Source organism: Homo sapiens, chromosome X (assembly GCF_000001405.40).
Source record: "Homo sapiens chromosome X, GRCh38.p14 Primary Assembly".
NCBI lineage: Eukaryota > Metazoa > Chordata > Mammalia > Primates > Hominidae > Homo > Homo sapiens.
The window spans coordinates 79,146,716-79,162,056 of NC_000023.11; the positions used below are offsets into that span (position 1 = coordinate 79,146,716).

At 36.3% G+C, this 15,341-nt stretch overlaps 1 protein-coding gene across 3 annotated transcripts in view, besides 1 other annotated feature; it reads left to right on the plus strand.

Moving 5' to 3' along the window:
• GPR174 (G protein-coupled receptor 174) overlaps nucleotides 1-15,341 on the plus strand; it is a 30,631-nt gene that overhangs the window by 2,028 nt on the left and 13,262 nt on the right. Inside the window, exons 1-2 of one of the 3 annotated variants that reach the window (XM_047442579.1) lie at nucleotides 3,126-6,130; nucleotides 10,107-10,203. The exons of 1 other annotated variant lie outside the window; for it this stretch is intronic. The gene's annotated coding sequence lies outside the window, so the exon portion shown is untranslated. Of the gene's footprint in view, nucleotides 1-3,125; nucleotides 6,131-10,106; nucleotides 10,204-15,341 lie in introns of those variants that run through there. One more of the 3 variants, NM_032553.3, reaches the window with a different exon arrangement.
• Nucleotides 15,202-15,251: an enhancer, noted in NCBI's record as "active region_29789". NCBI's record gives its function as "activates an Ori minimal core promoter by ATAC-STARR-seq in GM12878 lymphoblastoid cells {active_cell/tissue: GM12878}" and the evidence as "EXISTENCE:reporter gene assay evidence [ECO:0000049][PMID:35858748]".

The following is a 15,341-nucleotide window of genomic DNA, read 5'->3' on the forward strand; positions in this document are numbered from 1 at the left end:
AACATAAAATGAGTCATAGACTGCTCCCAATATGTCACTGAATTTCACCTGAAGACCCCTAGGAATGAATGCACTTCATTATGCCCCTTTGTACTAGGTAACTGAAAGGAAGAGGACAAAGAAACACACCTTCTGCATTCCGCTCATAGATACTTTAGGCACCAATCAGCTACCCAGAACCAAAAAGGGAAGTAAACTCCTTTTCCTGATCTCCACCCAATCCTGATACAAGCAGGGCACAGACGGTGCCTCTTCCCTTGCCCATTAAAGTGACTCCCCACCCAAAACCTTCTTTTTATGCTATAGGTCTCAAGAATCAGTCTCTAGATCCCTAGTCAGAGAATAAGAAATTGTCAGAAACAGATTCAGCCCTTGTCACTTTCAGAGCAATGGCAAACATCTGAGACCTTTATGCTTTGGGAAGTAAAGTAGGTTCATAGTGCACATTGTGCAGTTGGAAAAAATGAGACTCGTAGAGGTGAAGTGACTGGGTCAAGTATCTCTGTCTGTCTGTGACAGAGACAAAGGTAGAATCCAGGTCTCTTCATACCTTGTCCAGTGCTGTGTTCATTTCTCCTTGCTGACTATCAGGGTTTGTGGATTAAGAGACATGCATTATTCATTGGGAAACATTAAAAGATTTCATTTTGAGAGCATTCAAGAATCTCTCAATAACAGGCACACTTCAGGTTTCTCCCAAAGGCCCTAATATTGTAACAGACCTTGAGTTGTTGGGCTTTACCACTGTTTCCTTCCAAGAATAGGAAAGAGTTTTTCCTACTGTGCTCATAGAAAAAAAAAAAAACCCAAAGTGCAAACTGATACTAGATGCTGTAATACAAGATTAACAAAGACCTGGCCATGTACTGGAAGTGTATGTGCTGTATTGAGTGTCAGAGCAACAATACAGCCAATTCATTAGACAAGAGAGAGTATGCAGGAGGTCCTGAGGTCTAGGAGATTCCAGATTTGAGAAAGCAGTGAAGATTTTAGGGTATCTTGTCTGACAGAAACAGACATATGCGGTTGATCAACTAAGGTGAGAGTGTGAGGAAGATAAATATATACAGTAAGTGATAGTATGTGAATCCTGAAAAGGAATACAGTAATTAGTGGCTTGAATATTACTAATGTTTGTCATATAACCGAGTGCTATCTGAGATCTGAAAATTAAAGTGGGTTCTTCTGGTATAGTCTTTGAAAGGTAAAGAGTGTGCTCCAGAGGCATCATTTTCCTTTGCAGCAACAGCTGCATTAGCAGCAGCCAGAGATCAAGATGCAGACAGAGCTCCTGACAAATAATCAGATATGCAAGATATTAGCCAAAATCAAGTCTGTATAGACTCTGCAACTTGGTTATGGGTCAAGAAGTTCACTACATTTAGTTATCTAGTGAGAAAACTAAAATTTAACCATTATCAGGTTCAGTTATGTGGGTCATGCGGAAGCATGACTTGTGCCCACCGTGGGAGCCAGGGTTGCCAATTCAGACTCAGTTGTGTCTTGGATAGCATAAATACTATCTCACTGGAAACCTAAAATATATGCAAATATCTCACCAAGTCAAAAGTGCCCATCAACTCCTTTCCTACTTCCTGACATAATATTTGTTTCTTCAAAAAGCTTTTACAAAATGTCACACTACTTAGGGCAGAAAATAAGGTTTTCTGTACATTCTCAGCAACGATGAAAGGCTTTAATATTGTTATTATTATTTAGCTAAAATTTTTTTCAGCTTTACTTGGCAGATGAGATTCAGTATTTCTTATAAGCTAATCACATGTTACCAGATATTTCTTATAAATCAATGACTCTTTTTTGAGACAGGGTCTCACCCTGTTACCTTGGCTGAAATGCAGTGGCATGATCACAGCTCACTGCAGACTTTATCCCCTCGGACTCAGATGACTCTCCTACCTCAGCCTCCCAAGGAGCTGGGACCATAGCCATGCACCACTATGCAAGGCTAATTTTTGTACTTTTTTTGTGGAGACAGGGTTTTGACTCGTCTGGAACTCCTGGCCTTGAGCAATCTCCCAACCTTGGCCTCCCAAAGTGCTGGGATTACTGGTGTGAGCCCCTGCACTTGGCCCCAATGACATATTTCTGTATGATAAAATAATTCTTACAACTTAAGTATAGGATGACAGTGATGAAATCCTTTACTGTTCAAAGTATTTAATCTATTTTAGGTAATACTGATGACCTATAAGTTACTTCTTTAAAACTAAAAGTGTGTTATTTTAGGTGTCTACTCTATTTGAAGTGTCAGGCCAAATGGTGTGCTGAAAAATGAATAACATGTAGAAGATAGACTGATTTATTATTTCTCACATATGTTTTTACAATTAAATATTATGAGCAAAATATATTATGAGATGAAAGAGCCCACAGAGTCTATTTTTTTAAATTTACATTTTATTTTAATCTATAGTTTCATGGCCCCTATTAATTTTCATACTGAAGGACTTACTCATTTAATTTTCTAAAGACATATTTCTTTGACTTTTTTCTCCACATCCTTATGACAATAGCATTCTGCTTCTGTATTCTTTGGTCCAGTTTTTATTGGGATCTGTTTTTATTTTTACCTTTTTTTCCCCTTTATTTTTATACCTTATAAATGTATCCGTTGACTTCTCTCTCTTCTAAGAAAGTTAGGGTTAAAGCTAGGTAGTACTGATTTTGTAATACTTCATAAAACTAACTCAATTTAACAAAGGAAAGTTCAGTGACTTGACCTAGCATTAGTCTCTCTGAGGAAGAACTACTGACCCTAGAAATAGAGTTTTGTATCAAAAGTCACAGTGCATATCAAGACATCTGGTACAGTAATACCTTTCTCTCTGAAATGCTATGACTTCTAAAAGTTTATTAGGGTTAAAAAGAGAATTCTACCTAGCTGAAGCAGAGTATGAATATAACAGACTAGACTGTAAAGTGGCTGGTCTAGATAATCCATCCAGATTACTTAGGGAAGGAAGATTTGTGACCCAAGTTATCCTGAGTGAGTGATCATATATTGGGTTTGGGGATACCCAGTTTTGCTCTGACATCTTGCTGAAAGGCTCTTTCGATCATGGAGACTAGATTAAACCTCCCTCAGTTTTTTTTTTTTTTTTTTGCCATGAAATTTGGTTAAGCAAACACTATGAGGACATTCTGTAACCTGCAGAGAGAAAAGGGCTGTTTTTCAGAATAGAGACTATAACCTGGATTATATTTGATGTATAATTACTTGTTAATGACTGATTTAGTTCTAAGTTACAGTTTTAAGAATTTTACATTAAGAAATATTATCTTTGTGTCTGTTTAGGTCTTTCCCAGGGGAACATTTACTCAGAAATTTTAAAACTAACTGATCTCTGGGAATCATTAAATTTGAAAATATCTGTGACATAGTCCAATAGAGAAAAATTATTAAAGTTGATCACCCCAGGTTATAAGTTATTCCTTGACTGGGACTTGGGCCAAACATGAATGGCCAGAGTAAAACTATAGGCTAAATCAATATCTGAAGAATATGGGCATGGTGGTTAATCAGGCTGGCCCCTGCTCAAATGCTGTGGAACCTCTGTTGTGTGGGCTTCTTGAATACAATACATAGAGATGCAATCTTCTCTTCATAATTTTCATTTAGTGACACTCCTGGACACTCATTGGAAAAATTTTGGACACACAATAGAAATGAAAATCAATAGTAAATCACCCAAATATAGACCCTCTAAAGACTGTATGATGTTGCTTTGAAAATTTTAAATTTAATCTATTTAACATTTGCATGCATTAACCCACTTGTCATATTGGGTCAAATAATATGAAATACTTCTAAGAAGTGGTGATCAGTTCTTTATATTTTTCTGCAAAATTTCAGCACATTAATTAAAAAGATAGAATTGATTTGGTTTCATATCTAAAAATTTGTTTTCAAAATAAAAAATTTAACTTCATATAACCCTTTCCTGAGTGAGGAATTATATTTAGATTGTAACAATTTATTTTAGAATGAAAATTAGGTTTGGTTTGCTCAGTCTCACTCGTAAGCATAATGACTTTATTTTCTTCATGGGGAATTCTGAGCCTTTGGCCTTTTCCTATTCCCACATCTCCGGGAGTTCAGTCTAGTTTCTTTAGCAAAGGGAAAATAATAGTTTTCTAATATGATTTCGGATTTTGGACGTACATTTAGGAGTTTCCAGAGCTTTCTCACAGTTCTGTACATGAGTTTCAAAGCAGGTCCAAAGTCTCACCATGAACTAAGGGTCAGCATCAGATTCAGACCATCCTTGATATGGATTTTTTTTCCCTGTAGAGCTTATACTCTATTCTAAATCAAGTATATTTTTAGTAATAACTCTAGAAAAAGCAGTAAAATATATAAGCAGCTACTCAGAATCTAAGATTCAGCAGGTTTTTTGAGCTTATCTACTACTGGCTCTTTTATTTTTAGTGTTCTATCATCAAAAGTAATATATATTTTTAAAATTGTACACTTAACGATATACTAAGGATTGGGCAAGATGCCTTACATCATTTTGACAACAACTACATTTGCTTTCTCCATTTTACAGATTAAGAAACTAATGTTCAAGAAATTACATAACTTGCCCAGTGATATACAACTGTTTTTTTCAACACCACTTTATTGAGGAAGGATTAGCATACAAAAAGATGTGTATATTTAATATATATAACTTGGTGAGTTTGGAGATAAATATATACCTGGGAAACCACCACCACAATCTATGCAATAAACATGTCTATCTTGGTTGAGTTTCAAACCCAGTTCTGTTGATTGTCAAAGCTCTTTCTTTATGTTATGCTGTCTCTATACGATGAAGCTATAACTCACTATCTTGTCCCTTTCCACTTGAGAATCAAGAGAGTTGGTAATAGAAGAAGTCAAGATGTACCCATTTCAAAACAGGCTGTCCTTTTATTGGATTTAGGCTAGGTGAAAAGGAAAAGGAGGCGGGGAATAGGGAATAAAATGAATAAAATTGAGAATTGTAAAAAGCAAAAATTAAATGTTTTATTTATCTTCAACCATTCTTTATGATGTGTTTACTGTTTCTACAAGATATAACCCCTGCCCTCTTAGAGCTTATTTACTTGAGGAGGATAAGCTAGCGCATATTAATTCTGATTATACAAAAGAGATTTAGGAAGAAGGTGTGTGACTTCATGGAACTTTTTGCCTTAAACAGAATCACCATGCATCTATACTTAAGCTGACATAATGTAAAAAGAAAATCATATTAAAATTTTTGCTTTATTCTACATAATCTAATTTATGGCATGCTAAGGTTTAAGAACAAAGGTTCTGAACTCCAGATATGAGCCTCTGTTAGAGATTAGAGCACAATGTGTGGTTTTAGATGCAAGTTAATATCAACAAAAGGAAAGGGCTCAAAAAATTGTACACAGAGGCTCTCCTAAACAGGTCTGCAACAATAGATTAATTTATGTGTTTACTTGTTTGCTGGCTTCCTAGTGCATTCTATACTGGCTATAAGGAATTCGAATTTGGGAGAATACATGGGATCCTTCATATGCAAATCAAGTTTACACATCAACCATCAGAAAACACGATAGAGCTATTTTTATATTTGTGAGTAAGCTTTTTCCTTAGGATCAAGGACTTGGAGTTCTTGTTTCAGAGCATACTCTGCAGCTACATTACAGAGAGAATTAACTGGAATCTAATCGCATACTTAAGTTCAGGAGCTCAGTGTGGTAACCATCTGATCCAGTGAGTTATCGAATCTTGAGTTAAAAGAACAAAAACACAATAACAAAGTTTTAGGCTTGTCTGTCTCCTGATAATCCTAATTATTTCCCACCACATTCTTTTGCTCTCTACACACTCACCTCCTCTGTCTGTGCTCCCTCTCCAAGAGGAAATAGAGGAAGAACCTTGGGACATCAGTTTCTAAACTCTCTTCTAAATTATGCTTTCAACAGGCACCAATCACAAGTTTGAACTCATGTTCCTTTGGGGCTGACTAGAAGTATAAACCTGAAGAAGGTACTAAGCTCCCTCATTTTTCAGTTTCTCTATCTGTGAAAATGGTATAATTGAGGACACTTCTCTCTTAAGGGTATGGATCACCATGCAGATACTGAACAGGTACTTTGTATTTCTTTTACCAGAGCTCCTCTGTACAATTTGCAAAATACCTTGTGCTACTGGATTGAAATCACACTGGGAACATTGAGTTGTACTTGCCTTTCACCTGACAAATTTCCCTTTGCACATGTCAGCATTATGCCTGGTTAAGCTTGCAGATTGAAGTGCTTATGAGGAGCAAAATAGTTCTAAGGCTTGCAGCTGAATAAATGAGAAAGAGAGGCATAACTTTTATGGATCAGTGAATCGCTGTTTTCAGAAATGCTGTATGGAATAGTCCAACCACTTTAAGGTCTGTTGTATGTTTCTACTCTAAATATATGGCAGCTTTCTACAAAGCTTAGCATTTGACCTGCCCAATTTAGCAACTGATTTTACACATCTCTCTTTTTTTCTGTTGTGTCACTTCTGCTAGATTTTCCAGGGCAGGGGCTATGTCTCATTTCTTCTTATCTTCTGTGATATCTAGCGTGATGATTTGATTTACAGCAAGGTATTGTTCATCTCATCACTCCATTCTTTTGTCCTAGCTTGATAGTTTAGCAAACTGGAGCAGCAGGAAATGGGCCAAAGAGTAAAAATAACATTCGTCTTATTTTAGTCACTTTCTTCCAGTCTTGAATGCCAGCAGAAATGAATGAACTCAATGTAAAGAGAATATCTGTGTTTCTATATGGGGTAGAGTAGAGTTAGAGAGAGAGATGGGGAACGGACAGGAATAGGTTGTGGTTTCTTCTGCATACAGTTAAGAATATTGGTTTCTATACCATTGTAGAAAAAAACAAAGGGACGCTTGTTTCTGGTGATTTGTACACTGGTATTTGATGTAAAAAATTGACAGTCTTTAACAACATAAAGCTTACATTTAGATAGTCTGACCATATGAAGGAAAGAGAAATAGCTACACACATAGTATAGAATGTGTAGTAAGGAGGAAGTGTGATGTGAGGAAATGAACAAAGGCCTTTTGAATTAAAACTTAGGTTCTAGTTCTGATTGTGCCATTAACTTGTTATATAACTCAGGATGAGTCTTACTTACTTTCTTTGGGCCTCAGTTACCTTGCTTGTAAAACAGCAGAGCATTCATAGAGATTAATACAAAATTAGTGAAGGTTTAATCAAGATTAATAAAGTCTAATTTTTATTTAAAATGCTGAATCAGTTCTTCCAGAAAATGAGAAAATATTATAAGCCTCATTAATCATTATCTACATCACCATTGAACTTATCAATGGATACGACATGCTACCCAAGGTGCTCATTAAATATGCGCTGACTGAGCTTGTTGAATTACTCCATACATAGGCTGTTGAAAAGGCTCCAGTGTATGATATGAGGAATTCAAGCTGACTATAACCTCTCCCCTATTCTCCTTTCATGCTACTGTGATCCTTTACGTCTAGATCTGCAATGGTACCCATGTTTTTACTTAAGAAAGGCTGCTAGGAAAATCCCTGCACACTCCCTGTGAATGTCCTGGATACTATCTTCTAGTTCTCTCTCATTAATGCATTAGCTTAAATCCACTTATCACATCGCAATAGTTTTAAGCATAAAAGTAGAAACACTCGCTATAAGGGATATTTTGATGGGGAGTAGTCTGTGAGAGGAACAAATCTGTGCCAACTAGAAAAGTCTGCTTAGGACTATGGGTCTTGGATTGGATATGGAGCCCAAGCAGTTAAACTTGTGGTGTGAGGATTCAGTCAGGCCTGAAGGATAATGCACTGGGAAGGAAGAACACAGGGATTCTTTGTATATTCCCCAATATTTATCAAGAATTGGGCCTATCTGTCTACTCAAACTTTCTACTAAACTTAGACTGTAAGAGCACAAAGTAACCTCAGGGATAATCTAGTAGCTCCCTCATTCCGCAGATGAAATACCGAGGTCAAGAGATAGAAGGGACATTCCCAAGGTCACACCACTAATTAGTGATAAGGCCAAGACTAAAAGGTAGGTGTCATATGTCTCTGATTAGTGCTATTTTCCATACACCCTGTTTCTCTCAGCTTAAATGACTTGTCTTGGGAGTTGAAAAAGCTTTCAAGTAAAGCAGAAGAGTTTTGAAGTATATGGCTATCCTGGAAAAAAAATAATGAAGTGACTCTCTAAAACAAAATCCATTCTTTGATATCTCACCTGACTCCTGTCCATAAAGTATAACAAATTAAATGATTAAAAATTAAACAGTGCCTAAGAATATTCACGATTTCAATAAAATCTGCTTCTAGCCAGCCACATTTGTCTAGTGTTTATGATTAATCTGTGACCCTGCTCAGTCACTAAACTCTGTCCCTGCAGACTGTTACTCTAGTTTGATCTCACATATCTGACACACTAAAGTGGTACTGTTCTGATTCTGTTTTCACAAACAACAAACTACCAGCAAGGAATATAACTTTGTCACTTTGTAACTTACTGCCTAGGTTTTCTTTCCTAGTCCCCATGATAAGCTGCTTTGGATTCTTGGGCCTCTAGACCTGCCTTTTGGTTACTCATCTTCTACTTGGTCTGTTTCTCCCACTTTGTTACCCTCTCTCAAGGACAAAAAATAATTTAAAAATAACTTTACTGTGTGTTTAATCCTGATCACTATTTTTTCCTCATCAGGTCTTTTTAAAAGGATTTATTAAGGAGTTTTAATGTGTCTAGTACTCTATTTACTAGGTGCTAGAGGAAAGAAGAAAAGGATATGTAGTATTTATTGAGCACTTGTTATGTGCCAAGCCCTGGCTTACTGGTTTTTACTTATGATATCTCATGTAATCTTAACAATGTTCCCCAGGAGTAGGCATTATTATTTTATTCATTTTACATGAGGAAGAAACAGAAAGAGAGAGAGAGAGAGAAACAAAACAACTGGTTCAAGATTACTCAACTGAAGCTGGCATTAGAACGCAAGTCTCTTTCAAAGGATTCCTTCAAAAGTTATCATTCTAAATAAAAATCATCGTGTTAAAAGGATTAGCTTGAAGCAAATTTGCGTAGGTGGAAAATATTTCATTGGATGCCTTCCCTCTGTCTTTCCTGCCTTATCCTTCCCTTTGCAGAATCCTTTGCTAACCCTTATGATCTGGCATCTCAGGTAATCCTACCATGTTACCCACCTAAGGCTGTCCCCCTCTATGTTCCTTTAATTCATTCTACCAAGTAAAATGTATTCTTTGTATTTCATTTCTTCCACTTTCTAAAGGAAAATCTAGCTTAGCTGATTGATTACAGTTAATAGGCTAATATGTAACCCCTTCTTGTAGTATTTTCACTTTATCAGTAGATTCCTGGACACATAGTTTCTTAAAGGATTGAATCCATAATGGGACATTTCTGGCAAGGTGACAAGCTTGGGCAAGTGATCATTAGGTAAAGCAGAGCAGAGGAAGCTGGGGTATGGTTTTTAGTGTCCCTAAATCACCATACATAAGAAACTATCTACAAGCATTTTAAGGGTACATGTAAGGCAGCTTTGTGTAGAAATTAATTTGTCTCCTAGCATGAGCTGTGCTGACAACCACTGGCCAGCTGGATCTCCCTCCATATGTATTTAATAATCAATGAAACAGTTATGGTCATGCCAACTATTTAGAAAAGATCACTAATTGAGAAAAAGACAACTTTTACCCTTCAACTGTATTGTGAGTTTAACAAGAGGCTGTGGGATTTTTCTAACATAGTTCACCATAGTTAAGGGCTCCTTGTGACCAGGGAGTGACACATGAACTTTTCCACCGACATTCCTACCTTCTCTCACTCTTTCCGAAAGCTGCCATGTCAAAAAGAGATGTCAGATGCTAAAGAGATTCTCACTCACTCTACTTCGCTACCACTAATGACTAAGTGTAACTCTCTATACTCTCCTTTTCCTGTGGTAATTGATTTTTGGGATCTCAGCATCCACTTGCTGAAATTTCCCAGCCATCTCTGAGCATCTTCTCCATGCTGCACCTGACCACTGCTTTTCTATGTTTTTCAAGGCATGAATGAATTAATCGTGCCAGATTCTCCAACACTTCCTCAGGAGACCCTATTGCTCTGATCAAGAAGTTCCATCAGCACCGAAGAAAACAGCAGGTAGTCAAATACAGTCTTGACTTCTATTTCTGCATCTTTCCTAAAAATAATACTGTTTTACCCTGTGGGCCCTGTACAGACAATTAGAGCGTTTGCTACCCACCTGTTGCACATTTGCTGGTCTACTTGATAGATTACCAAGCAATAGCCTGGTTTTAGCAATCAAGATATACAATCTTACAGAACACGAAAAGCTGTAGTTTCTGGAGTATTTGATAAAATGTGGCATTCTTTTCAATAGTGCTCTGCTGAGTCTTTTTTGCCTGAGACAGAGAAAAAAAATCAGTCATACTGATCCTGTCTTTATTTACTATCTTGACATTTTGTTTACTGTGAATATTTCCATTCATTTCAATTTCAAAAATACTGCATTGAAATACTATTTCTCTTCATTACTGAGTTGTTTTTCAACCCCTTAAATTTTGTGTCCAAGGAAAGTGCCTCACTCATCTAACACTAGTCCTGGTGCTGAATTTTATGGGCTGTTTGACCTACTTTTTAGCTTCAAAAGGGGATTTGGGAAACTAGGGTACACAGCCTTTATTCCCATTTTGAAAGCAAGTCTATGCACAGATTAAATAAATGCTTTCAATGTTAAACTTTTATGTAATATAATCTCATCCAGCACCCACCGGCCACTCTACATGCATACAATATTGTAATATGTGTGTATGTTGAGAAAGGTGATGCTGTTTGTGGAAAAGAAAAATTACAGTAGCCGTAGGTGAATCACTTGAATGCTTGGCAAATTTCTATTTATTGATTGGTAAGTATCAGGTTAGGGGCAGATTTGGAAGATGCAGATTCAGAGCAGCAAGTGTTTATTCTGTTTACTTTTTAGTTCTTTGTCTGGATGCCTGTTTTTAGAAGAAGTGTGTTGCCCAAGCACAAGCCTTGATATCTACTCATTGTAAAGGAACATGTCTAGTGCTTGAGCCTAGTTTGAAAAATCATGAACAAAATGACTGTACAGTTCACCTAAACATGGGGGAAAAAAACACCTCAACCATTGTAGCATTATGTTATACTTCGGACCAGGAGGTCAGAGTTCTACCAGCTAATAAAACTCCTGTAGCGCACATATCCCCTTCATGTGTAACCCAAGTATTTAATATTAGTTTGATGCAAAAGTAATTGTGGTTTTTGCAGTTAATATAGGGAATGGCAAAAACCACAATTACTTTTGCACCAAACTAATATATGGGTTTATTGGGTATCTGGAAGCCAAATTAAAGCCACCCCATTTGTTTTCTTTTCTTTTTTTTTTTGTTATACCTTTTAGGCCACCCCAGTCTTTCTTTCTAGTGAGACTTTCTCATAAAAGGGAAATGAACCTCTGTTCAAGACCACTTGAGCCCTTTCCCCTGACGTAATCAGGATGAGTACAGTTGAAAGCTCAATGAGACAGGGATAAAAAATTAGGCACCTGTCTGAACCATATTTTTTGTAACATTCATATGTTAGTGATTCATGTTAGGTAGGGTAGCCTACACAGACAGTGGCATATTTCTTTTTCTTTCTTTCTTTTTCTTTTTTTTTTTTTTGAGATGGAGTCTTGCTCTGTCGCCAGGCTGGAGTGCAGTGACGCAATCTCGGCTCACTGCAACCTCCACCTCCCGGGTTCAAACGATTCTCCTGCCTCAGCCTCCTGAGTAGCTGGGACTACAGGCATGTGCCACCACACCCGACTAATTTTTGTATTTTTAGTAAAGATGGGGTTTCACCATGTTGGCCAGGATGGTCTCGATCTCTTGACCTCGTGATCCACCTGCCTCAGCCTGCCCAAGTGCTGGGATTACAGGTGTGAGCCACCGCACCCAGCCGACAGTGGCATATTTCTATTGTCAAAAGTTAATGAGTAAAAAAAAAAAAAAACAGTTAAAAAGAATGAATAAGACCTACTATTTGATAGCACAGCAGGGTGACTATGGTCAATAACTTAATTGTACATTATAAAGTAATGTAAAGACTGCAACTAGATTGTTTGTAACTTGAAGGATAAATGCTCAAGGGAATGGAAACTCCATTCTCCATGATGTGCTTATTTCATACTGCATGCCTGTATCAAAATATCTCATGTATCCCACAAATATGTATGCTTACTATGTACCCAGAAAAATTTTAAAAGATTAAACATAGAAAAAAGTAACAATCTATTGGCTAAAATGAAGTACTATACCTCTGTTGGAGGTATTAACAGATGAGATTGCTGGTTCATCTTTGCAATCCTGTTATGATACAAAATTCAAATTAACTGGGGGAAATTCAAGTGCATTTTCATTTATAAATAGACATGAAAATTCCTAATCAAGGTATGATGTCTAGTTAGAGAGAGAGAGTAAAAGAGAGAGACCCAACCATTACTACTACCAAACAAAAAACAAAACAAACCAAAACAGCAAAACATTTATTCATAGATGTATAAAGATATTCATGAAAATTTATTAAATTATTTTTTCCTGGATACATTAGATAGCATTCAGCCCTTGGCCACAACGTTTGTGTATGCACACAGTTATCTTCCACTGCATAAAATGCTAAGAATTAGTTTATTTTATATATTTATATAGTACTTACTATAGAGCTTTATAAATATTAACTCATTAAATATTCATAGAGGTAGGTACTATTATCATCTCACTTAACAGAGGAGGCAACTGAGGCACAGAAATGTTTAAATAACCTGCCCAAAGCCTCACAGCTAAGAAGTGGCAGAGACAAGATTTGAATCCAGTAAGACTGGCTCTAGAGTCCATGTTCTTTTTGCCTACTATAAATCATGCCTTATTATTTATCAAAAATTTGGATATTATCTAATATTATATACCCATACATATGAATAAATGCATATGGCATGGAGAACCAAGGCTATTTAAAACTCAGAAGTAAAGTGACAAATTATTAGAGCTAAAATTCCCTCTAAAAGTTATCTGGTTTAACATGCTTATTTTAGAGAAGAAATGGGCACCCAGAGAAATTAAGTGACTCTCTCAGGATCACACAGGCATTCAATTGCAGAGGTAGAACAAGAATTCAAGACTTTTCACTCTCAGTCTATGACTAATTTAAGTAAAGAGCACAACTTATATTTTCAAATAAATGTCATCATTTTGAAAGTGACCTCACAAGGCTGTATGCTTATCTTAATGATGCTGTATTTCACCAAATATTCTCATACTCTTTGAAATTGTCTTTGGAATGGGTTTGAGCTGATCAAGAAAAATGAGTCTTTAAACAATGTCATCATATCATGCTTTTGAACAAAAAAAGGCCTTTTTTTTCTACTTGATCTCTAACTTCACTGTTCAGACTGGCTATGAATGGCTTTTGATTGTTTCCCAATAATTTATCTACCCTTAAAAATCAAAGATTTGTCACCCGTAAAATTATTCTAAAGAACATGATGCATGTTCTGAGTGTAATTCTAAAAGAGAATTCCAAAAATTGAAATACACATATAGACCTTCAAAGTGACAAGTTAGGACAGACAAACTCATTTGGATTCTTGCTTTTTAATAAATTTATTATTTAAATAAAATATCACTGTGGGGAATCCCATGTCCTAAAAGTTTCAACTCACTTATGAAATATAGAAAGTACTAAGTGTGTGTGGTGTGTAGGATGTGTTTCTTGGGTAACTTTTCTCAGATTTAGAGGTTCCAAATGAAGATTACTACTCATTGTCTCAGGCTAAAGAGATTTCATGAAGATGTATACCTTGGTGTGGTATATGGAATGTGATGATAGCATACCTACAGAGGTTTTCAGAGTTAAATAATTCAGGTAAATAGAGCAAGAAAATAGGCAAAACACAAGTTAAATCAGAATAATATTACGGAGAAGGTCAGACAAACTCAGTAGAAGTCTAAATAGAAGGCAGTGAAGAGAGAAGGGAAGAATTAAAGAATACTTCAGAGTTGAAACATTGAGCTATTGGTGGTATCAGTGATGTTCCTAATGTTAGGAAGGGCAGGGCAATAGGAGTGTCTCAGTTTTAGATAAATTTCCATTTAAGATTGCTAGCTATTTGTTTTAACCTTCCTTGATCCCATCTGGAAAAGCTTGTCTAAATTACAGATAAATAGATAGTTAAGTAGGTAAGTAGACTAGAGGCCTATCACAGAACAAATGATGAAAGTACATAACCACTTGATGGTCATTTTAAAATAAAAATAACCAGAAATTGCATATTTGTAATTAAACTGTTACTGATATAATTGCTGAAACAAACAATTGGCTTTCCAAACTGTCAGAGTTATGTTTCTAATCTCTTTGCACCTGACAAATACTTAGGTTGGTAGGTACACCGAAGGGGCATCTGAACTCAAGCTATTTGCCATGACGTAGAGGTAAACATCATTACCCTAACACTTGTTTAAATTTTACAAAGAAAACAGGCAAAAAATACATTGAACTTGATTTAAATCAATCTCAAGAATTGGCTAGTTGCTTAGTTTTCACTCTAATGAAATAAAATCGTAAAAAAAATTGCAAATAACATTTATTAACAATTCTTTTATTTATGGTCATAAGTTATGGTTTAGAAATACTTTCTCTGTTTAGATTTTCACACCATACATTTAAGGGAAGGAAGTTAGAAATAAATAAATAGCAAGCCAATGCTTAACTTACATATAAAGTCACCCTAGCCCAAATTAATTCCATAGGGCCACTGGTGTTCAGGAGTCTAGCCTTACTCTCTGAGTAAATAATGATGTAGGGGGTAAACAATTAGCCCATGGCACAAATAAAAGGGAACAAACCAGCAGGTAAATTTAATTTAAAAATATTACTTTTTCTCAACTGCAGTTTTGGAGGCCAGTGTCTGTTCAACATATTTTTGGGTACTTGCCAAGTCCTTTAGCTATGGTGGGCAGGGACTTGTCATTTCCTGCCATATGAAGGCAGCAGGCTATGATAGGGAAAATAAAAATAGCACTACATTGCCACAAAGAAGTGTGGTCTACTCCATTCTGGTGCGTGTGTGTGGAGAGGAGGTGATGCTTTTTCTTCAACTGACTTGCTTTCGTTTTTACTTTCTTTGATTGTAATCCAATGTGGCTGCATAAATGTATTTCCACAAGAGTTGAGATTTTTAAATGAGGCAATGACTGTGTTTTGAGTTGTGTACTCTGCCT